This window comes from Homo sapiens, chromosome 4, assembly GCF_000001405.40.
Source record: "Homo sapiens chromosome 4, GRCh38.p14 Primary Assembly".
Taxonomy (NCBI): Eukaryota; Metazoa; Chordata; class Mammalia; order Primates; family Hominidae; genus Homo; species Homo sapiens.
In genome coordinates this window covers 109,654,970-109,679,916 of record NC_000004.12, presented here as the reverse complement: position 1 = coordinate 109,679,916, position 24,947 = coordinate 109,654,970, and the positions used below count along the sequence as shown (strand labels likewise).

At 40.6% G+C, this 24,947-nt stretch overlaps 2 protein-coding genes and 1 pseudogene across 3 annotated transcripts in view; 1 reads left to right on the top strand and 2 right to left on the bottom strand.

Moving 5' to 3' along the window:
• The window catches only part of CASP6 (caspase 6), a 45,380-nt gene extending 29,851 nt beyond the window's left edge, over nucleotides 1-15,529 (top strand). Inside the window, exon 6 of the mRNA XM_047416245.1 lies at nucleotides 7,235-15,529. Within this exon, the coding sequence (XP_047272201.1) occupies nucleotides 7,235-7,252 (18 nt within the window). The 3' untranslated portion in view covers nucleotides 7,253-15,529. The remainder of the gene's footprint in view (nucleotides 1-7,234) is intronic.
• Nucleotides 1-24,947, bottom strand: part of MCUB (mitochondrial calcium uniporter dominant negative subunit beta) — a 128,474-nt gene that overhangs the window by 8,803 nt on the left and 94,724 nt on the right. For both annotated transcript variants that reach the window (XM_006714246.4, NM_017918.5), the window contains exons 2-4: nucleotides 20,831-20,906; nucleotides 19,552-19,722; nucleotides 15,523-15,627 (exon numbers count right to left, since the gene is read on the bottom strand). In XM_006714246.4, coding sequence (XP_006714309.1) covers nucleotides 15,523-15,627; nucleotides 19,552-19,722; nucleotides 20,831-20,906 — 352 coding nt within the window. The remainder of the gene's footprint in view (nucleotides 1-15,522; nucleotides 15,628-19,551; nucleotides 19,723-20,830; nucleotides 20,907-24,947) is intronic.
• Nucleotides 5,596-6,138, bottom strand: HIGD1AP14 (HIG1 hypoxia inducible domain family member 1A pseudogene 14; annotated as a pseudogene).

Genomic DNA, 24,947 nt, shown 5'->3' with positions numbered 1-24,947 from the left:
GGCAGGAGAATTGCTTGAACCCAGAAGGCAGAGGTTGCAGTGAGCCGAGATTGCACCACTGCACTCCAGCCTGGGTGACACAGAGAGACTCTGTCTCAAAAACAACAACAACAACAACAACAACAACAAAATTATACCTCAAAGCGGGAGAGAAAGTTCATAATTGCAAGCTTTCTAAAGTAACTGCTTGTCTGAGTCCACTAGTCCACTTTCTGCTTCTATAACACGATACCACAGACCCCATAATTTACAAAGAACAAAAATTTGTTTCCCCCTCTCCCACTCCCTCTCTACGGTCTCCCAGTCTCCCTCTCTTGCCGAGGCTGGACTGTACTGCCATGATCTCGGCTCGCTGCAACCTCCCTGCCTCGGCCTGCTGAGTGCCTGGGATTCCAGGCACGTGCTGCCACTCCTGACTGGTTTTTGTATTTTTGGTGGAGACGGGGTTTCGCCGTGTTGACCGGGCTGGTCTCCAGCTCCTGGCCTCAGGTGATCTGCCCGCCTCGGCCTCCCGAGGTGCTGGGATTGCAGACGGAGTCTCGCTCACTCAGTGCTCAATGTTGCCCAGGCTGGAGTGCAGTGGCGTGATCTCGGCTCACTACAACCTCCACCTCCCAGCCGCCTGCCTTGGCCTCCCAAAGTGCTAAGATTACAGCCTCTGCCTGGCCGCCACCCCGTCTAGGAAGTAAGGAGTGTCTCTGCCGGGCCACCCATCGTCTGGGATGTGAGGAGTGCCTCTGCCCAGCTGCCCCGTCTGGGAAGTGAGGAGCACCTCTGCCCGGCCATCCCGTCTGGGAGGAAGTGAGGAGTGCCTCTGCCCGGCTGCCCCTAATGGGAAGTGAGGAGCGCCTCTGCCTGGCTGCCCCATCTGGGAAGAGAGGAGCGCCTCTGCCCAGCTGCCACCCCATCTAGGAAGTGAGGACTGTCTCTGCCTGGCTGCCCCGAATGGGAAGTGAGGAGCGCCTCTGCCCGGCCACCCTGTCTGGGATGTGAGGAGCGCCTCTGCCCGGCCGCCACCCCGTCTGGGAAGTGGGGAGTGTCTCTGCCCGGCCGCCCCATCTGGGAGGAAGTGAGAGCGCCTCTGCCCAGCTGCCCCGTCTGGGAATTGAGGAGCGCCTCTGCCCGGCCACCCATCGTCTGGGAAGTGAGGAGCACCTCTGCCCGGCCGCCCCGTCTGGGATGTGGGGAGCGCCTCTGCTTGGCCACCACCCCGTCTGGGAAGTGGGGAGTGCCTCTGCCTGGCCGCCCCATCTGAGAGGTGAGGAGCGCCTCTGCCCGGCCGCCACCCCGTCTGGGAGGTGAGGAGTGCCTCTGCCTGGCCGCCACCCTGTCTGGGAGGTGAGGAGCTCCTCTGCCCGGCCGCCCCGTCTGGGATGTGAGGAGCGCCTCTGCCCGGCCACCGCCCCATCTGGGAAATGGGGAGCGCCTCTGCCCGGCCGCCCCGTCTGGGAGGTGAGGAGCGTCTCTGCCCGCCCGCCCATCATCTGGGAAGTGAGGAGCGCCTCTGCCTGGCCGCCCCGTGTGGGAAGTGAGGAGCGCCTCTGCCCGGCCGCCCCACCTGGGAGGTGTACCCAACAGCTCCGAAGAGACAGCGACCATCGAGAACAGGCCATGATGATGATGGCGGTTTTGTCGAATAGAAAAGGGGGAAATGTGGGGAAAAGAAAGAGAGATCAGATTGTTACTGTGTCTGTGCAGAAAGAAGTAGACATAGGAGACTCCATTTTGTTCTGTACTAAGAAAAATTCTTCTGCCTTGGGATGCTGTTAATCTATAACCTTACCCCCAACCCCGTGCTCTCTGAAACATGTGCTGTGTCAACTCAGGGTTAAATGGATTAAGGGCGGTGCAAGATGTGCTTTGTTAAACAGATGCCTGAAGGCAGCATACTCGTTAAGAGTCATCACCACTCCCTAATCTCAAGTACCCAGGGACACAAACACTGCAGAAGGCCGCAGGGACCTCTGCCTAGGAAAACCAGAGACCTTTGTTCACGTGTTTATCTGCTGACCTTCTCTCCACTATTATCCTATGACCCTGCCACATCCCCCTCTCCGAGAAACACCCAAGAATGATCAATAAAAACTAAAAAAAAAAAAAAAAAAAAAAAAAAATTTGTTTCCTTATAAGGAACAGAAATTTGTTAGTGGAGGCTGGGAAATCCAAGATCAATGCACCAGCATCTGACAAGGGCCTTCTTGCTGCATCATAATGTAGCAGAAAGCATTACGTGGGTGAGAGAGAGCAAGCAGGGGCTGAACTTGTCCTTTATTAAGGAACCCACTGCCAAGATAACACACTCCCATGATAACGACATTAATCCACTCACGTTGGTCCTCATGACCTAAACACCTCTAAAATGTCCCACTTCCCAACAGCTTTGCATTAGGGATCAAGTTTCTAACACATGAATTTTGAGGGACACATTCAAACCATAGCATTCTGCCCCGGCCCCTCAAATTCATGTCCTTTTCCCACACAAAATACATTCACTCCATCCCAAGAGCCCCAAGCATCTACTCAAAAGTCCAATTCCAAAGTCTCATCTAAATCAGATATGGGCAAGAATCTAGGCATGATTCATCCTGAAGCAAATTATCCTCCAGCTGTGAGTCTGAAATCAAACTCACAGCTGGAGTTTGTACTTCCAAAATACAATGGCTGGATAGGTATGGGATAGATATTTCCACTGCAAAAGGGAGAAATAGGAAAAAAGAGGTAACTGGTCCCACGTAAGTCCAAAACCCAACAGGGTAGTAAACAACATTAAATCTTAAAACTTCAGAACAATCTTTGAATTCATATGCCACCTTGTGGATACACTAAGGCAGGGGTTAGGTCCTCAAAATCTTGGGCAGTCCTGCCCCCATGGCTTTGCTGGGCTCAGCCCAGGCAGTAGCTCTTATGGGTTGAGGTTTCATGCCTGCAGCTCTCCCAGGATGCTGCTGCACACTGGTAGCTCTAAAGTTCTGGATTCTCAAGGGGCAGCTGTGAATTTTCCAAATATTTTACATTCTGCCTCATTTTTAATTGTGAATTCTGTCTTTAAATCTATTCTCCTCTCATTTTACTGTATGCAGTTAAAGAAACCATGCAGATTCTTCAATATTTTGCTTAGAATTTTCTTCTGCCAGGTAAATTAGTTTGTCACTCTTAAATTCTGCCTTCCATAAAGTCCTTGGATATGAAAACAATTCTTTGTAACTGCCCAGTCTTGTGCTATTCTGCTATTGCAGCAGAAAACAGATTAAGACAGAAAATTGGTACTAGGAGCAGAGTTACTGCTATAACAAATACCTGAAAAGGTAGAAGTGGCTTTGGAATTTGGTAATGGGCAAAGGCTGGAAGAGTTTGGAAGAGCAGACTAGAAAAAGCCTGTATTGTCATGAACAGAGTATTAAGGGCAATTCTGGTGAGGGCTCAGAAGTTCTTTGCAAGTCCATAACAATAATGGTGTTTATTCCAGCTTCCAGTAAGATATTCCTCATTTCAAAGAGCTTATCAGATTGGCCTTTACCATATACATATTTTTGGATTTTTAGTAGAGACAAGGTTTCACTATGTTGGCCACACTGGTCTCAAACTCCTGACCTCAAGTGATCCACCCGCCTCAGCCTCCTAAAGTGCCGGGATTATAGGTGCGAGTCACCACACCCAGCCTACCATCGATATTTCTACAAACATTCTGATCATGACCACTTAAGTAAATCTCTAAAAACTTTTAGACTTCCTACAGCTATTCTCTTCCGAGCCCTGACCAGAATTGTCCTTAACACTCTGTTCATGGCAATATAGGCTTTTTCTAGTCTGCTCTTCCAAACTCTTCCAGCCTTTGCCCATTACCAAATTCCAAAGCCACTTCCACCTTTTCAGATGTTTCTTATAGCCCCACTTCTGGTACCAATTTTCTGTCTTAATCTGTTTTCTGCTGCAATAGCAGAATATCACAGACTGGGCAACTTAGGAAGAACAACATTTTATTTCCTCACAGTTCTGGAGTCTGGGAAGTCCAAGACCAAGGTGTTGGCATATTTGGTGAGACCCTTCTTGCTGCATCATCCCATGGCAAAAGGGAGGCAGAGAGAAAGCAAGTGTTTATGCACAACAGCACAAGAAGGGGCCAAACTCATCCTTTTATAAGGAACCTACTGCCAAGATAACCTCTCCAGTGAAAATGGCATTCATCTATTCATTAGGGCAGTGCCCCCATGAGCCAAACACCTCCCAATACGCCTCACATCCCAACACCACAACACTGGGGATCAAGTTTCCAACACATCAACTTTGGGAAACATACTCAAAGTACAGCACTGCTCTAAAGATGAGGTTGTATGGCTTATTGACCTATCACCAGGTTTTGGCTGGAATAAACAGTAAATTTTCCAGAGGGTACTGAGCTTTCTCAGACAGACATTCTAAAAGAACCAGAGTTGTCATCCAAATGATGTGGCCTTGAGCTATGAGAAACTATGCAAATGTTGGTTCAACTCTCTTAGTGTGTGTGGTGTGAGGGGGGCAGTGTTGACAAAATCTGTGCTGAGAGTTTACAGTTTTTATAGGCCATGGTTAACGCCTAGTTGAGAAGAGGGTTCCGAGGAACCTGACTGAAGTTTAGTCAAGGTGAGAGTCTTTGTCAAGTGGCACGAAATGTTTATCTGAGTTCAACAATGAATGCCCTTGGCTCTGCTCTTTCAGAAGCATGGGCACCACAGAATTCATGTTACACCACCAACCTAAACTGACTCATAACATTTGTCTGTGGCATTTCCTAATAAAGGCCAAAAATGAGAGAGAATTATTCTTTTCCTTTTCTTTTTTTTCTTTTTGACATGGGTCACTTACTTTAATAACAATACATATACCATGTTATCACTATGGAATTAAATTCAGATGAGACAAGAGAATTTCACAAGTGTGATAGCCTTCTGTATATTATATAAAAGTTTGGGTATACTGTCTGGCCAAACCAGCTTGCTCGTAAGTCATTAATCAAATCCGTTATAGGTAATTTGTTCAGTTCAATGTTTACAATTCTTATGTAAAAAATAAGCAACACACACATTTAAAAAGTGTTCATTTACCTTTGCATGAGTGCTTAAAATACATATTTCTATTTCAAGATGACATTTAAAAATTATTCTAATATATCAGCAGCAAAAATATAATTTGCAATTACAAAAAACTAAACTAGAATCCTTAAGTTATTCTCATGTTTACAATTGTGATTCTTTAATAAATACTAATATTATGCAGCTCTATTGTTTAAGCTTTCTGGATTTGGTTTAAACACATGCACATATATTGTCAATTGTGGGAAGCTTTACAAATTATATTCCATGCACTTTTTGGACAGAGTTCTAACAGAGTCAGCCAGTCCACAAAACACGCAGACAAAAGTTGAATTAACTGGGGCAAATAGGACTCTTATACAACATCCAAAATATGTGAGATTCTGCAGCAAACTGGGAGTACCTTCAGGATTGGCCTGTTATCTTCTTTAGAACTAAGTTCATCTTAAAAATTTAAGAAGGTGGACATTTCAACACCATCAAGTGCATTTAGGTGACATGTTTAAGTTAACTTGACTTCCTTGAATGACGGAGTTAGTAAACTAGTCACTAGTAATTCAGTCACCAGGCAAATCAAGCCTGCAAGAAAGGAAGCCAGTATTCAAAATGCCATGTTACCATCTAAACCCATACAAATTAGTTTATTTCCAACAATAATAGGTAACTTCAATAATGAGACGTCTAACTAAAGCAAGCTCCTCCAACAAGGCAGCATCTCTTCTTCTAAGGCTTAGGTTTTGCCCAGAATTCCCGATACATGGAATAGCCCATACCAACAGTCATTGCTCCTACAACAAAGCCTTGGGCTACCACACGCATGTGGATCAGATGAATGGACATTTTAGTATTTCCCCTGCTCTTCAGTTTGTGTAATCCATATGCAACAACTGCTGCAAAACCTGCTATTCCAATGGGTACGAATGGTGCCTCTTTAGCTTTTCGAATAAGTTTGGATCCCTGATATTCCTCATATGAAGGAAGAGAAACACCTGTGTCTGCTGACATAGTGATTGCTTGAAGAATCTCCCTAGAGCGAAAAAACCTCTCACCCGCCAACCGGCTTCTGATCTTTTCCTTTTCTTCAGAAGCTTATTTCTCATTTATGTGTCTTCCTTGTGAACTTAATTTTCATACCCCAAATTTTCAAATCCACATTTGCAATGTATTAGGAATATTTTAGTTAAATGGAGTTTAAATAACTTTTTTGAAAACTCCAAATTTGTAATTTTATAAATTTCATTTTCAGTTAATCCAGTATGATTCCTCTGCCATTGTTTTCCTTCTAACTATACCTGCTGTGTCCCTGTTTACTTTACACTGTGAGACTTGGCAAGTCTGATACAGTTTTCATAAGCTGAGGTTACAGGGAAACCTGGGCTCACTGACCTCCCATCTCCAGGGAGGCTTCTGCCCTAGGAGTTCAATCCCAACACACAGCCCTTCCAGCAGCAAGAGGGGTTTTCTAATGAGTGGGCAGGAGTGCGGAGGTTGTGCTTTATCCCACTTAGACCTAAGGCTTATGGTCCATGTGGTGGTTTGAGGGATGGGAAGGTCATATGGAGTAATGGGATGGCCTGTAAACATCTATTTCCACTTGTTTGTTCATAAATGCAACCCAAAGAACAGCAAGTGAAAGACCTTCCAGGGTGTTAGGAACTCACTGGACATGAAAGTTGTATAATATCTTAACAGGGATTTCCTCTTCCATATTTTCCAATTTCTGTCACCCTTCTCTCTTTGAAGTTAAATACTGCCCTGATGTTAAAAGAGAATTCAGAATGGAAGCAAGTTTGTAAGTGTTGAAATGAGTGATTCATTTTAATTTCTTTTTTCTTGTTTGTATTTGAAAATCCCGCATAATGTTCAAATATACAATTAAAATTTTAAAAAATTATTTTTGTTTGAGGGGTCCTCAGAGAAATGGCTGATAAAAGTGATGGGACATGATAGGTACAAGGTCAACCTGGATCATCTTTCTATATCAAAAAGTAAAAGTACTTACAAAAAAAGGGGGAGAGGGAGCAAGTCACAAAGACACAGGAGTCACTGGTGTTCAAACTGTACCAGATAATGGTTAGCTGGAGCTGCTTCAAGCTGGAGGACTTTTTTTAACAGAAATTTCTTATCTAAATTCCCTCCCTGTTGATGGCTCTTGCCTGATCTAGAATTTGGCTGCAAAGTGATGATTTTCCACCTCCAGAAACTCTCCCACATTTACCAGTAGATGCTCAGCACCTCACTGTAAGTAAGAGCCTTCTATTATTTGTTGATCTATTTCTTTTATCACCAATTTATTAAGGCATAGACTTATGAATTTCTTCCTCCTACCCTTAACAGTCTATAATTATAGCTTACTGGGAGAAGAAGCCTCAGGAGCCAATACTAGCCAGAATTCTTAAACTGTAATTGGTGAATTGCTGGACACTCAGTGTAAACTAGCATTGAAGGAAAAACTCCCACACTTTCATGAGTTTTATCTCCTGGAACCTTACCAGGTTCTCACAGTGAAGATCAGAGATCAGAGAAAAATACTCTCCCTGCTTTGGGCAGGAGGGAAGGAAAAATAACCATTCTGAAATAGCCCTGAGCACATGTCCTCCATAATAGGAAACTACTTTACCAGAGCCTTATCTGGCTTGGAGAAAGGGCAATTAGTCAACTACAGACCCCTCTAGCCTTACTGCCTCACACAGGAGAATAAAAGAGGCTAAGAAACTCTTGTAAATATTACATTTTAGAGACACAGGCCCAATTAAAAATATATATATATTTAATAATAAGATTATAGAATGATTCCTCTCCTCAATATCTTACCACTACATTAACAGGGCTCCAGTTTTATACAAGGCACAGATTCTATTTGAGAAAGAATTTATAGGGAAACCCCAAAACATCAGGAGAAACAAAAATAAGGACACTAGAGGAAAGCCTCTGATACCTACAGCTACAGCAAACATTAAACATCTAACTCCTAGCCACATAAAACCTCACACTAAAGACCTATTCAGCTCAGTTTCTATTGCCTGATACATCATGTCTAGCTTTCAGCAAAAAATTTAAAGACAAGCTAAAAGGCAAAGAAAAAAACAACAACAACCACAGTTTGAAGAGACAAAACAAGCATCAGAACCAGGCTCTGATATGGCAGAGATTTTGGAAGTATCAGAGTAGGATAGTAAAGCAACTATGATTAAAGGCTCTAATGGAAAAAGTGCACAATATGCAAGAACAGATGAGTAATGTAAATGGAGAGATAGAAACTTAGAAAGAACCAAAAGGAATTGCTAGAAATAAAAACCACTGTAACAGAAATGAAGAATGCCTTTGATGGGCTCATCAGTAGACTACACACTGGGGAGGAAAGAATCAGTCAGCTTGGGGGTATGCCAACAGAAACTTTCTCAAACTGAAGGTCAAAGAGAAAAAAGAATGGAAAAAAAACCTAACAAAATATCTAAGAACTGTGGGACAATTGCACAAGTGTAACTTAGGCATAATGGGACTACTAGAAGAAGAAAAAAGAGAGAAGGGAAAAGCAGCACTATTTGAACTAATAATGGCTGAGAACTGTCCAAAAGAATATTGCTAATGGCCAAAATGGTAATTTGAGATGAAAAAAGCTCTCTTTAAGAAAAAGTTAAGACTTCCAGTTTCCTGTCTGACATAAAAAAACTCCAAAGTTGTCAGTCCATCCTAACAATTAATAAATGGCTGAATACAATGAAAATCAACAACTTTTCTTAGATGCATAAGAAAACTAAGGTTAGAGGGAAAATTGCTGTCGCCAAAATTGAAAAGATAGATAAATACAGACAATGACAACTTAGCGAAGCAGAGACTCATGAGCAGAAATCTGCAAAGAATCAGTACCAGGGTAGGAAAACCTGAACTGTAACTGACAAATTGCTGGAGGCTCAGCGTGGACAACTCTTGAAATGTAAGCATTCCAGGGAGTCCCATAGGTGGGCGCATTCCCACACTTTTGTGAGTTTCACTTCTAGGAGCTCTACTAGATACAGTGAAAACTGAAGAAAAATCTCCTCCTCCTTACGGCAGCAGGAAAGGAAAAGTAGTGATTTTGAAATATGCCAGAGAATTCTGTTCTTTTTCTTTTTCTTTTTTTTTTTTGGAGACAGAGTCTCCTCGCTCTGTTGCCCAGGCTGGAGTGCAATGACATGATCTTGGCTCACTGCAGCTTCCGCCTTCCGGGTTCAAGCGATTCTCCTGCCTCAGCCTCCCGAGTACCTGTGATTACAGGCACCTGCCCCCATGCCCAGCTAATTTTTGTATTTTTAGTAGAGACAGGGTTTCACCATGTTGGCAGGCTGATCTCAAACTCCTGACCCAGTGATCCCCACTCCCTCAGCCTCTCAAAGTGCTGGGATTAAAGGCATGAACCACTGCGCCTGGCCAAATTCTGTTACTCTTAACAAGGACTGTCCACAAGGTAAATTATTTTCCCAGAGCCTAACCGATTGGGATTTCATTAGAGCTTAGTTAACCTAGGGGAAAAGAAAAACCCAACTTCAGCAACCTGTAACCATCCTATCCCACCTAAGGTGGTGGGGGGTGGGGGAAGGGCTGAGAAGCACTTGTGAAGTTCTAAGTCCAGGGGTACAGGCTCACTAAAAGACTGAGACCTAGTCCCCTTAATCATAGGACTACAGAACACTTCCCCTCCATACCTTACTTTATCACTATATTATAAAAGGCTTATTTACTGCAGTTCCCTTTATCCAGTATATCACATCCAGCTTTTAACATAAAATTACAAGACTTACTAAAAGGCAAAAAACACAGTTTGAACAGACAGAATAAGCATCAGAACGAGAGCCAGACATGGCAGGAACATTGGAATTATCGGACTAGCAACTTGAAATAACTACAAATAATATGCTAAGGAATCTACTAGAAAAAGTAGATAACATGCAAGAACAGATGGGTAATGTAAGAAGACAGATGGAAATTCTAAGAAAGAATCTAAATAAAATGCTAGAGATAAAGCATTGTAATGGAAAGGAAGAAGGCCTTTAATGGGCTTGTTAGTAGATGAAACATAGCTGAAGAAAGAATCTCTAAGCTTAAGGATATTTCATTAGAAACTTTCAAAACTGGTAAGCAAAGAGAAAAAAGACTGAAAAAAAAAAAACCAGAACAGAACATCTAAGAACTTTAGGACAGCCACAAAATGAATAACATGTATGTAATGAGAATACTAGAAGGAGAAGAAAGGAAAGAACAGAAGAATTATTTGATTAAGGACTGAGAACTCCCCCCAAACTAATGTCAGATAGCAAACCACAGATCCAGGAAGCTCAGAGAACACAAGCAGAACAAATGCCAAGAGAAAACTACACATACGTATATCATTTTCAAACTGCAGAAAATCAAAGATAAAGAAAATAATTCTTAAAGAAGCCAGGGAAGGGGGGAACCCTTAGCTATAGCAGAGAAAAAAAAAGAAATTAAACCTGACTTCTCTGAAATCATACAAGCAAGAAGTGGGATAAAATATTTAGCATTCCGAGAAAAAAACAAAGCAGCCTAAAATTTGGTACCCTGTGAAATTATTCTTCAAAAGTAAAGGAGAAACAAAGATATTTTCAAACAAAAATTGAGTGAATTTGTTGCTAGCAGGCCTGCCTTGCAAGAAATATTAAAAGAAGTTCTTCAGAGAAAAGCAAGATGATATAGGTTGGAAATTTAGCTCTACAGAAAGAAAGAGAATCAGAGAAGGAATAGTGGAGGTAAAATAAAAACCTTTATTTTTATTATTCTTAATTGATCTACTAGATAACAGTCGGTTCAAAAGAATAATGCTAACACTGGTTTTGACTATGTATGCTTAGTATACCTATGCTTATGAATCACTGAAATGAATGACAGCCGTGAGACAAGGGGCATGAGGGAGAAATCAGGATTATTTTGTTATTATAAGGTATTTGCACTAGCCGTGAAGCAATATAATGTTATTTGAAAGTGGACTTGCAATAGTTGTAAATGTATATTGCAAACTCTTAGGCAACCGCTAAAAAAAGAAGTATAAATAATATGCTGGAAAAGGAGAGAAAATGAAATATACAGAATGCTCAATTAAAAACCAAAAAAGGCAGAAAAAATGTGGAAGACAAAAACAGGAAAAAAAAAAACAGTGGCAACAAATAGAAAACAGTAGCAAATATGGTAGATATTATGTATATCAGTAATCAATTTGAATGTCAATGGCCTAAATGAACCAATCAAAAGATAGAGCTTGTCAGAGTGGGTCAAAAACCCAGATCCAACTATATATTGTCTATAAGAAACCCACTTTAAATATGAAGACATATATAGATGAAAAGCAAAGGGATGAAGAAAGATATACTATGCTAACACTAATAAAAAGAAAGCTGAAATAGCTATATTAATTTCAGACAAAACAGACATTAGAGCAAGGAAAGCTACCAGGAGTAAAGAGAGACATTACATAATAATAAAAGGCCAATTCTCCAAGAAGACAGAACAATGCTTAATGTGTATGCTCCTAACACAGCATCAAACTACATGAGGCAAAACAAAAACTAATAGAACTACAAGAAGAAATAGATGAATTCATGTTTACAGTTACAGACTTCAACATTCCTCTATTAGAAATGGACAGATCTGCCAAGCAGAAAATCACGGGGTATACAGTTGAACTCAATAGCACCACCAATCAACTGAGATAAACGTGACATCTATAGACTATCCAACAACAGCACAATACACATTCTCAAGTTCACAGGGAACATCTCATCAAGACAGATCACAATGAAGGCTATAAAACTCACATGAGTAAATGTAAAAAAAGAAAAATACAATGTATGCTTTCGGATCTCAGTGGAATTAAACTAAAAATCAATAACCCAAAGATAGCTGGAAAATCCCAAAATACTTAGATATTAAATAATGTACTTCTAACACATGGGTCAAAGAAGAAATCACAAGAAAAAAATTAAAATATTTTAAAATAAATGAAAATACAACTTATCAAAATTTATGGAAGGCAGTGAAAGCAATGCTCAGAGGGGAATCTATAGGATTGAATACATATAACAGGAAAGAATAAACATCTATAAGATCTGAACTTATACTTTAAGAAACTAGAGAAAGAGGAGCAAATGAAATGAAAAGCAAGCAGAAGAAAAGAGATAATAAATATAGTAGAATATTTATTATGTAGAGTATATAATATACTCTACATAATATATATTCTATTCTATATTATAAACATAGAGTAGAAACCAATGAAATTGAGAACAGGAAACCCACAGAGAAAAATCAATGATGTTAAAAGCTAGTTCTTTGGAAAAAATCAATTAAATTGATAAACTTCTAGCCAGGTTAATCAAGAAAAAAAGAGACAACAAGTTACTCATGGTAGAAATGAAATGAGAGGATTTAACTACAGATCCCATGGACATTAAAAGGAAAATAAAGAAATACTATGAACAACTCTATGCCCACAAATTCAATAACCTAGACAAAATAGATTAATTCTCTAAAAGGTACAATCTATCAAAACTCACACAAAAAGAAATACACAATCTACATAAGCCTATACCTATTAAGCAACTGAATCAATAATAAATTTCCAAAACAGAAAGCACCAGGTCCAGATGGATTTTCTTGGTGAATTCTACCAAACATCAAAGGAAGAAACTATATTAATTATCTACAATCTCTTTCAGAAGACAGAAGCAGAGGGAATACTTCCTAACTCATTCTATGAGGCCAGCATTACCTTAATACTAAAACCAGACAAAAACACTGTAAGAAAACAAAACCACAGACCAATATCTCTCGTGAATATAGACACAAAAATCCTCAGCAAAATAATAGCAAATAAAATACAACAATGTCTAAAAAGATTGCTACACCACAACTAAGTGGGATTTATCCAGGTATGCAAGGCTCAACACTTGAATATGAATTCATGTAATCCATCATATCAACAGACTAAGGAAGAAAAATCACATGATAATATCAATAGATGCAGAAAAAGATTTGACAAAATTGAACACCAATTCACAATGAAGACTCTCAGCAAACCAGGAACAGAGGGCAATTTCCTCAACTTGTGAAAGACAATGAGAAAGCAAGCCATAGCCTGGGAGAAAATATTTGCAAAAGACGTATCTGATACAAGACCGTTATCCCAAACATACAAAGAACTCAAAAGAAAATGAACAACCTGATCACAAAATGGGCAAAGATCTGAAAAGACACCTCAACAAAGAAGACATAGATGGCAAATAGGCGTATGAAGAGATGCTCATCATCATACATCATTAAGAAACTACAAATTAAAACAATGACTACACACCTACTACAATGGTGAAAATCACATCCAAATCACTAATACCACCAATTGCTGGCAAGGATATGGGGCAACAGGAATTCTCATTCACTGCTGGTAGGAACACAAAATGGTACAGCCACTTTGGAAGACAGCTTGACAGTTTTACACAAAACTAAACACTCTCACCATATGTGCCAGCAATCATGTTCCTGGGTATTTAACCAAATGATTTGAAAATCTACGTGCAAACAAAAGCCTGCGCATGTGTATTTATAGCAACTCCATTCATAATTGCCAAAACTTGGAAGTATCCCAGATGTCCTTCAGTAGGTGAATAAACTGTGGTACATACAGATAATGAACAATTATTCAGCACTAAAAGGAAATGAGCTAACAAGCTCTGAAACACATGAAAGAAACTTAAATGCATATTACTAAGTGAAATAAGCCAAGCTGGCCTTCCTCTTCACTTTCTTCTTTACTGCCTCGTCTCCTCCCTTATCACTCCCTTTTCTTCTCTTTGCTCTCTCTTCCTTTCCCCCTTCTTCTTTCCCCTCTTGCCTTTCTTTTTTTCCTCCCACTCTCCCCCTTTTTTCACTCCTCTCTCTCACTGTTTAGTATTTTCCCTGTTGTACCCCCTTTCTTAAATATCCTATTTTCTCTTCCCTTGCTCTCTCATGTCCCTGGCCCTACTACCATGCGCCCCCACCCCTGCCAAAAAGAAAGAAAGAAGCGAATCTGAAAAGGCTATACAATCAGCCCTTCTTATTTGTGGGTTCTGCATCTGTGAACTCAACCAACCATGGATTGAAAATATTTGGGAAAAAAATCTAATAAAAATTAACAATACAACAACAACAAAATGAATGAAAAAACAATATAGTATAACAACCATTTACACAGCATTTACACTGTCTTAGGTATTGTAAGTAATCTAGAGATTTAAAGTATATGAAGGGAGTATGGAGGTTAAATGCAAATATAACAAACATTTTGTATCAGGGCCTTGAGCATCCTTGAATTTTGGTAGAGTTTGGTAGAGTTTGCCTGGCCCTATTCTGTATAATTCTTAATGTCATAGACAGGTTCTTGAAAACTGCAACTTTAAATGAAACAACTATAAGGAAACCAATTTTACCATAGGCTAATTGATATAAGCAAGAGTTAGGTTCTTACAGCATATTTCTGGTCATAAAAACATCATTAAACATCTAAATAAAGACCCAAGACACTTTTAATGTTAAATATTAAAATAAATGTAAGCTACATATACATTTAAGAAAGATTAATAAAAACAAGATGATTATTTACATTATGTACATTAATGATGAATACATGTAGTTCTACATTTGTCACAATCTATAGAATATACAACACCAAGAGTAAACCCTAATGTAAACTATGGACTTTGGGTGACAATGATGTGTCAGTGTGTTCACCAATTTTAATAAATATACCAGTCTGGTGTGGGATATTGACAATAAGGGGCGTGGGGTGCAGAGAGCATATGGGAACTCTCTCTACATTCTGCTCGATTTTGCTTTGAACCTAAAACTGCTTTAAATAATACAATTTTTTTTTTTTACAAGAGTTAAGAGCTATACAATCATGTATACTTGAATTCTTGATTTTCAGGCCTACCTCTCTCTTAACCCAATAATGTCGGTTAAGCATTCAAGATCCTAAAGTAAAATCCTGAAAGTCTAAAAAGAGTATACGGGACTAAAAGTCCTGCTAGGCAACTGTAGGTGATCACTTATACCCCTGCTGGAAAAGCTTAAACACTGGTTTTCCAAAGACTTCTTGGTCATCTGATAAATTTAAGATTCTTAACATAAACTTTGCTCCCTCTGGAAACCTCACAGCTAAAGGTAAAAGTGAAGATACCAGCCTGGACAACATAGGGAGACCCAATCCCTAAAAAAATGTTAAAAAATTAGCCAGGCATGGTGGTGCATGCAGGTAGTCCCAGCTACTCTGGAGGCTGAGGTGGGAGGATTGTTTGAGCCCAGGAGTTTGAGATTACAGTGAGCTATGACGACGTCACTGTACTCCAGCCTGGGAAACAGAGCAAGTGAGAATTCATCTAAAAAAAAAAAAAAAAAGTAATAGTTGGATAGCTGTGTTTCTTACCTCTCTTTGGACACTGCACATCATATGCTATTTTATTAATGACAAGTTTAAAATCATTCATTAGCAAAATATCCATCAAGGTAGAAGCTGAAATCATGTTGCCATCTGAAAGAAAAACATCATGCATGAGCATGTCTTTGTTTTAGAACAGTAAGAACCATTTTCCAACACATAGAAAATTACTAACCCAGGTCTTTACAATATAATAGTGGACAATTTACTTTTGTGGGGGGTGTCCCCAAACCCAAACACTATTCCCATTGAGGGGAATCCTCCTCTATTGCTCTACCTCCCATTTCCTTGGACGAAATGGAACAGGCAGGCACTCCCTCTCCCACCCTGTCAGCTGTGCTGGAATCCAGGTAGTGCCCTTGGTGAAACTGCATCTGTGGAGAGTCATGCAAAGGTTCAGGGGAGGTGGAAACCCTTCACAGCAAGGCCAGAGCAGTGGCAGGTGACAGTTTTGGGGGTAGGGTGGAGTGTAGGCAGCAGAGCTCATCAGGTGGTTACTGGGTTAACCTGGTCTCAGCTCCTGTCTTCTCTTAGTTCCTGCCCTCTTCTGGGCCTGTCTTCTGCCACTTCCAGCATGAGAGCCTGTTGACATACTCCTCTGCTTAGCCAGAGTCCATTCTGCTGCTTATGGCCAAGCTTCTGACTGGCACATGTAGGCATAAGGGTATAACTATTTAAAAACCCTGCCTTTCTCTTATTTTTAATTATTAGAGGTAACTGATTTGTGGTGGTTAAAAATTTAGTAGCTAAATAGCACCACAAGCTATCACCACATGGGCTCATCTTCCTTTCAAGCTTGAAAAAAATGAAGAGGCAAACTGTCAAGGAGGTGAGGACAATAATGAACGTGATGCCTAAGAAATAAATTTGCATTGTATGGTTTATTTTGTGGAAGGGGAGAGAGGCAGGAGAGATTCTAACAGTAATTTCAAATATCCTAGGAGTATTTCAGGAAAAAAAAAGTCTTGAAAAATTTTAACCACAATGTGCTTTGCACAGCCTCTCATAGAGCCTAGGTTTTGTTATATTTTTGAACCAAACTTTAATGTAATCCAGGTGTTAAGAAAGCAAATTCACTGAACAATAAGCAAAAAATTGGTGCTGGGTAGAGGTTTCTTTTTCTATCATTTTCCCTTCAGAATAGTTCACATATAATTACATGAAATTAAGTCCAGGAAAATGCTGGATGTGTATTTTCAAATCCCGGCCTGACATTCATTTGGTTACATTCAACCCGAGCTATTTTAGCTATATTAATATGTGTGATGACAGGACTAACACTAGTAACATCCCGAAGAAACTGGCTGCTGCCTCTTGTCTGCCTCCCTATAGTTCTTTTGTTCTGGAAGACTGCAAATCAAGTCTGCACCTGTGTCTGTTCCTAGAATTTGGCTGTTTGGGTTGCTGTTCATCAGTTGCAGTGAGATCATTTTCCAAAAAATTGCCAAATAATTCAACCCACACAATGGGCAAAACTGTGACAAGCTTAGAACACTCTTTTCAAGCCCAAATTAAATGCAGGCAAATTCCACCCACAGAGTCTTTTAAAAAGAAGAAAAAAAAAATCAGCAACACACCAATCGCTTTATCTTTCCAAGTGTCATTTAAAAATTTACATGTAAATGACTTCAAACCAGCTCCTTAAAATCTTACTAAAAAAGACATACACTGAATATGATTTCTCAGTTGAAATACTATATTATCCTTTATACAAAGGTATGAATAGCAAAAGACTGACGTGAAACATTTTTAAGCACTAGTGATACAGTGTTAAATTTTTCATGTATTCTTGGGTATCAATTTAAACCCCCGATAGGGTGTTTGCACTCAGTCCAAAGAGTCCCTTTTCTCTAAGACTTCTATTCTCTTTCTTTGTGCTTTCTGTTTCAAAGCTACTAACTTTATTTTTAGAAATAAGCAGGATAAACATCTATCATTTTAACCTCTCTTATTTCATTCACTTCAATACTAATTGAGTACACACCACCAGGCAAGTGCTGCTCAGTGCAGGCCCTTCTGACTTCCAGGTTTGGGTCTGCCTGCCCCTAGAAGCTTAGAAAGAGGGCCCTGCCCCTGTGGAAAACGCCCATGGACATTCCAGTGTTCCTGTGCCTGGGGGAAATGTCTGTCTAGTTCAAGGATGAAATATTAGGAAGCCCATTGTGCCATAGGGCTAAAACCTTATTCTCTGATCCAGGTTTTAGCAGGAAGAAACGTCCCTTCCAGCTAAATCTATAGTCCTAACAACAACCTACAATAAGCCTTTCCTGATCTGCCCTTCCCCACCTCTCAGAACTCCTCCTTTCTCCCAGCTCCCTCCTTTGCGGTCACTGTGTAGTAGGCTCCCACCTCAATGCAGTCTCACTCTATCACTCAGGCTGGAGTGCAGTGGTGCCATCTCGGACCACAGCAACCTCCGCCTCCCATGTTCAAGCGATTCTCCTGCTTCAGCCTCCTGAGTAGCTGGGATTACAGGTATGCAACACTACACCTGGCTAATTTTTGTATTATTAGTAGAGAAGGGGTTTTGCTATGTTGGCCAGGCTGGTTTCAAACCCCTGACCTCAGGTGATCCACCCACCTCGGCCTCCCAAAGTGCTGGGATTACAGGTGTGAGCCACCGCATGCGGCCCAGAGCTCTCTTCCCTCTACGTGACTCCCTCCCTCATTTCCCCCAGGTCTTTGTGCAAATGTAATCTTATCAAGCCCACCCCTGCCCACACACATCTTCCACACTCTGCTTTATTTTTCTTCGTAACACTTATTATTTAACATAATACATAATTTATCTTGTTTTTTTCTCCTCCTAAATATAAGCTCCATAAGGGCAGGAGTTTTTATCCCTTTTGTTCTCTGCACTACCTCTAGCGTATAGAACAGTGCCTGACATACATTAGGTGCTCAATAAATATTTGTTGAATGAATCAATTAATCTCCATTTTCCAACTTCTCTATCTTTTAATTAATTTGGAACTTGGATAGGGAAAAAGTCTGTTTATTTCCCTTTCAAAACTGCAACAGTAATCATGAACCTAAATAACTTTATTCTAAGTATTTAATATCATAATGAAATAATGCAAATTTATTAATTTATCTATATTTGCAGCTGCTATGTAGTGGGATAGGGTAAATAATTCTTTATTCTATTTAGAAGCAGTTGGTCTAAGACCATTTCAGACTATGAGAACATGAAAGCTGTATTCTAAATTTTAAATGTCTAAGTGATGACATACTTCTGGTTTTTTAAAAAATGTATATTCTTCCTAAGAACTAATTCTGCCAAAAAACATACTAGACTGTAATTGCTTTATAACAGTGGTGAACAAATTTTTTGTGTACTTTAATTATTCACTGGCTTATTTTAATAATTAAAACTGCATTTTGTTTTCTAATTATTCAAATTTTGCTGAGAATTGCACGCTAATGCCTGTGCCACTAAGATTTTCTCATGAAAAACCTTTAAGGCTAAGTTTATAAAATAAGTAACTGAAATTTACATTAAATTTATTCCATTAATTTTTCATTCAATGAAGTTAAATTTTTTTTTTTTTTAATTTTCTTTTCTTGGGATGGAGTTTCACTCCTGTTGCCCAGACTGGAGTGCAATGGCGTGATCTCGGCTCACTGCAACCTCTGCCTCCTGGGTTCAAGCAATTCTCCTGCCTCAGCCTCCCAAGTAGCTGGGATTACAGGTATGTACCACCACGGGTGGCTAATTTTGTGTTTTTAGTAGAGACGGGGTTTCTCCATGTTGGTCGGGCTGGTCTCGAACTCCTGACCTCAGGTGATCCGCCTGACTCGGCCTCCCAAAAGTGCTGGGATTACAGGTGTGAGCCACCACGCCAGGCCAAAACAGTTTTTAAAATAGTGTTGATGCATAAAAATGAAAGAATAAAGACCAACCATTTATTATCTAATGAATTAAACAATGTACTTCTAGAAAAGTAAAGAACCAAACAAAAGTTCAGGAGAGACAGAAACCCTGGGACAAAGTTGTAAAATTATATACATATATACCTGCTGTGAAGATGGCTGCAGTTTTGATACCCTTATCTTCATTTTGTAGGTCCTGAAGGAATGAACCAACTGTTGACAACATTGGTTTGACTACGAATTGACAACGTTCTTTTCTAGATGGCAAGGTAAGTGTTACCAAGGGAAGGCCATGTCTATAAATAACTGTTATTTCTGTTAAGGAAAAAAAGAAAAAAAAATGAGTAAATTTTACTTTAAAAAAAACCATAAATACAAGAATTCTAGAAGGAATGCTCAAACATGAAATTCACAAACCTCTGAAGTCTTATAAAAATTTGTATTGCTCCAATAATGCCTTCATTATACTACAGTTTACATATTCCCTACCATTCTATAACATTTTAGTGTAGCACATACCACACTTTATTATCTGCTTAAAGTCTTCCCAGGTGGCCGGCATGGTGGCTCATGCCTGTAATCCCAGCACTTTGGGAGGCTCAGATTGGTGGACTGCCTGAGCGCAGAAGTTTGAGAGCTCTCTGGGCAACATGGCGAAACCCCATCTCTACAAAATATACGAAAATTAAGTCTGGCATGGTGGTGTGCGCCTGTAGTTGCAGCTACTTAAGAGGCTGAGCTGGGACGATGGCTTCAGCCTGGGAAGCAGAAGTTGCAGTGAGCCGAGATCGTGCCACTGCACTCCAGCCTGAGTGACACAGCTAGACCCTGATTAAATGAAAAAGAAAAAAAGTCTTCTCAGGTAAACACTTAAGTTCTAGTTTTCTTGAGGACAGAAACTATTTGTTTTTTTTTCTTTCTTTTTGAGACAGGGTCTCACTCTGTTGCCCAAACTGGAGTGGCACGATCATGGCTCACTGCAGCCTCTACCTCCTGGGCTCAAGCAATCTTCCCACCTCAATCTCTTGGGTAGCTGGGACTACAGGCATGTGCCATCACACCTGGCTAATTTTTGTATTTTTTGTAGAGATGGGGTTTTGCTTTGTTGGCCAGGTTGGTCCCAAACTCCTGAGCTGAAGTGATCCGCCTGCCGTGGCTTCCCAAAGTGCTGGGATTACAGGCCACCACACCCACCCGACTATTGCTTATCATCTCTGACTCCTCTGATTCTGAGGTGGGAATTTGACAAAAGACAGCAGCTATATTATGGGAGCACAAAAAGGTGGAAGTGAACCCAATCAGGGTGGGGTGGGATGGGGATAGTGTAAGAAAAGTCTATTCTGCTCAAAACTCTCGCAGCTCTTTATTTGGAAGAAAGGGAAACAATTAACATATGAATCAAATAAATGGTAAGAAAGCTTACCATCAGGTGGCACCACGGTACTATAATGGTGTGACTGGTAGTATTTCACATTTCCACACAGCTTCACACGCAAAACCTACAAGAAGGAAAAATTAATTTGTTTTTTTAAAAAAAGAGTGGGAAAGATGAAATAAGTGTCTTTATTTTACCATAAGATTCTTTTTAATACTATATGAAAAGCATAATGAAAAACTCAACTTGTCATGCATCCCAGGGTGAGCCCTTGGCAAGCTCACTGAACCTTCCTGGCTATATGCTTGCCTGCTACTATGTATGCTGTAGCAGTAGCACACCAGGACGGGATCCCTAAATTGGGGTATGAGGCCCCCTGAAAATCCTAGAGTTCTGTGAGAATTTTTACTTTCAGTATTTCCTTTCAGGTAATAATCTAAAACAAATGGACATAAGTATATCTAGTCTAGAGACATGCTTCTCAATATGTGGTCCCCAGACCAGGAGCATCTTGGGGCTAATTAAAAATGCAGAATCGGGCCGGGCATGGTGGCTCACGCATGTAATTCCAGGACTTTGGGAGGCCAAGGTGGGCGAATCACCTGAGGTCAGGAGTTCGCGACCAGCCTGACCAACATGGAGAAACCCTGTCTCCACTAAAAATACAAAATTAGCCAGGTATGGTGGCACATGCCTGTAATCCCAGCTACTCGCGAGGCTGAGGCAGGAGAATCACTTGAACCCGGGAGGTGGAGTTTGCCGTGAGCCAAGATCCCATCATTGCACTCCAGCCTGGGTAACAAGAGCAAAACTCTGTCTTAAAAAAAAAAAAATGCAGAATCACAGATTCAGACCAGATGTACTGAATTCCAGTCTGCATTTTAACAAGATCCTCAGAAGATTCACATGCACATTAGAGTCTGAAAAACACTGCTCTAGATCTGTGCTGTCCGATATGGTAGACACTTGTTAAATGTGGTTATTTAAATTAGTTAAAATTATGTACGGGTGGGACACGATGGCTCACGCCTGTAATCCTAGCACTATGGGAGGCCGAAGCAGGAGGATTGCTTGAGCTCAGGAGTTCAAGGCCAGCCTGGCCGACACAGTGAGACCCTGTCTCCTATAAACAGCAACCACAAAAAAATTATGTACACAAACATTCAGAACCTCAGTCACCTTTGCCACATTTCAAGGGCTCAAAAGCTCCCTATGCCTAATGGCTATCTCACTGAAAAGCAAAAGCGCAGGAATAGCATATTTCTATCATCACAGAAAGTTCTATTGGACAGCAGTGCTGAGTCTACAACATCTGAATGGCCACCTCACCACGGAACATGTTTTGGGGGCTTGCATTGGTGTTTGTGTTTACACAATTGCACTGGTGCTTAATGAAGACCGAATAATATCATGGTGCACTGTGTGAACAAAGATATTGTGGGAGTAGAAAGAACAGGCATTGGGGAATTGGTTCACAGGCATTTGGAACTCAAAAGGACTTGTACCAGAGAAATTAGTACCAAAGTCACAACACGGTGGCTGTAACATACTGATCCAGATTTTTTAATGCATCACCTTACAGTAGTTTATTAACAATAAGTTTGCCAGTAATTGTGCAAAGAATAATTCTTTTATAAACTGCATTTTTAAATTTTTCAGGATTTGAGGGTACACTATTAAAATAATAAATCAGTGGTTAAAAGTGTGTTCGCTGTTTCAAAAAATAAAGATGACACTGACCCAAATGAAGGTCCATTATGTTCAAAATTAAAAGAACCTCATCAATAAGTAAAACAAAACATTCAAATACATATTTTAGTATTAAACACAACATAGGCAATAAATGTCAACACAACATCATCTTTTACATTAAGACTGTTCATTTGAGCTTTCTATTTTTTTTTTTTTTTTTTTTTGAGATGGAATATTGCTCTGTTGCCCAGGCTGGAGTGCAGTGATGCAGTTTCAACTCACTGCAACCTCCACCTCCTGGGTTCAAGTGATTCTCCTGCTTCAGCCTCCCAAGTAGCTGGGGTTATAGGCACCTGCCACCATGCCTGGCTAATTTTTTGTATTTTTAGTAGAGATGGGGTTTCACCAAGTTGGCCAGGCTGGTCTCAAACTCCTGAACTTGTGATCAGCCTGCCTCGGCCTCCCGAAGCGCTGGGATTACAGGCGTGACCCACCACACCCGGCCTGAGCATTATTTCTAAAAATGTAGCTCACTACTAAGATGAGAAGAAAAAGGCAGATGATGTCTTAAAATAGATGCAACTCTCAATAAATAAATATAGGTAGAAGTTCTCCAAGTGTGGATAATGGATATTACAATACCGTCTACTACTTTTAGCAAAACTACATAAAAATGAGACACATCAGAATTCTCTATCAAAATTCTTCTATAAAAATAATGAGACAGATAATTTTCTGTGCATAAAAGTCAAATACACGAAGGTAGGGAGTAGGCCAGGCGTGATGGCTCCTGCCTATAATCCCAGCACTTTGGGAGGCTGAGGCAGACGGATTGCTTGAGCCCAGAAGTTTGAGCCCAGGTAACATGGTGAAACCCTGTCTCTACAAAAATTACAGAAAAAGTCTGGCATGGTGGCACATGCCTGTAGTCCTGGCTACTTGGGAGGCTGAGGCAGGAGGATTGCTTGAGCCCAGGAGGAGGCGGCTGCAGTGAACCGAGATTGTAGCTACTGCACTTCAGCCTGGGCCACAGAGGGAAACCCTGTCTCCAAAAAAAAAAAAAAAAAAAAAAAAAAAAAAAAAAAAAAGTAGAGAGTAAAAGTTAGAGCCCCTCCCTTTACTTCTCTATAATCCTGGAAGTCTCCCCAGAGGTAACCACTGCCAGTGGTTTGGCATGTATCCTTCCAGATTTTTTTCTACACGTTACCTACCAAATTCTATGCTAGAGTCCGTATAATGCTAAAGACATATGAGTCAGGTTCCTAAATGCCATTGGTGATAATGCCTGTGAGAATCCAGGAATCCAGTTGGAGGCAATATAAAATGATTACAAAGTATCATTTAATATACTGATAAAGTTGCAGGTGTACTACTGAAGAAGTAACTGTAGCACCCACAAGATAGAGGCACCCACATGACAACCAGAAGATGCTGAAAGAAGGCAGAGTGGCCTGAGAAAAACAGCAGGGCTTTCTCAAGCTTTTGCTTGCCTAATAATCACCTGGAAGCCTTAAAAACACAGATTCCCAGACCCCATACACAGAGATTTTTAATCTAAAAGGTCAGTTTGTGAGGATTTGCATTTTTAATAAGCTCCAGAGGTAAACTGAAGTTTCAAGGGTGAGAACCACACTGTGAGAAGCTGGGCTTTAGCCAACCTCCCCACAACCCCCACCACCACACACACACACCCCCTGCTGCCCCAGGCTTCGTGGCAACATGCTAGATTTCTGCGTAGAATCATTCCGAATTCCAAATTTTAGTGCCTGGTCAAGCGTTACTGCCTTTAAATGGAATTTGCTATCAGGGCAAAAGATGATTTGGGCTTCTCTTTAACCATGAAGCATTTTTTGTTCCTGACCACAGAGCTCCTGAATCCCTTGGAATTTCACGAGCGATTGAAGTTTCTGTGGTTTTAACAAGGTAACTCTTGGTGGGATGCTAGATGGCTTCAGGATGGGGCTGGTTGCTAGAAAGATCAAACCTTGATTAAAAGCCTAGAATGTTCAGTCCCATCTTCCCAGCCTCCAGGAAGGGGACAGAGGCTGGAGACTGAGTTAATAAAATCCATTATGCCCACATGATGAAACCTCCATGAAAGTCCCTAAACAATGAGGTTCAGCGAATTTTCAGGTTGGTGAATGCAACCACGTGTTGGGAGGGTGACATAATCCAACTTCATGAGACAGAAGCTTCTGGGCTTGGGACCTCCCAACAGTGAAAACTATGTTCACACAAACTGTACCTTGCTTTATGTATCTCTTAATCCAACAGTTTAGCTGTATCCTTTAGAATATCCTTATAATAAACCAGTAAACATAAGTAAAGTGTTTCCTTGAGTTTTGTGAGCAATTTTAGTAAATAGCTGAGGTTGAGGAGGGGGTCATGGGAACCCCTGATTTACAGCCTCCTGTGAGAAACATGAGAGGCCCAGGACTTATAATTGGCATCTTAAGTGGGACAGTCTTGTGGC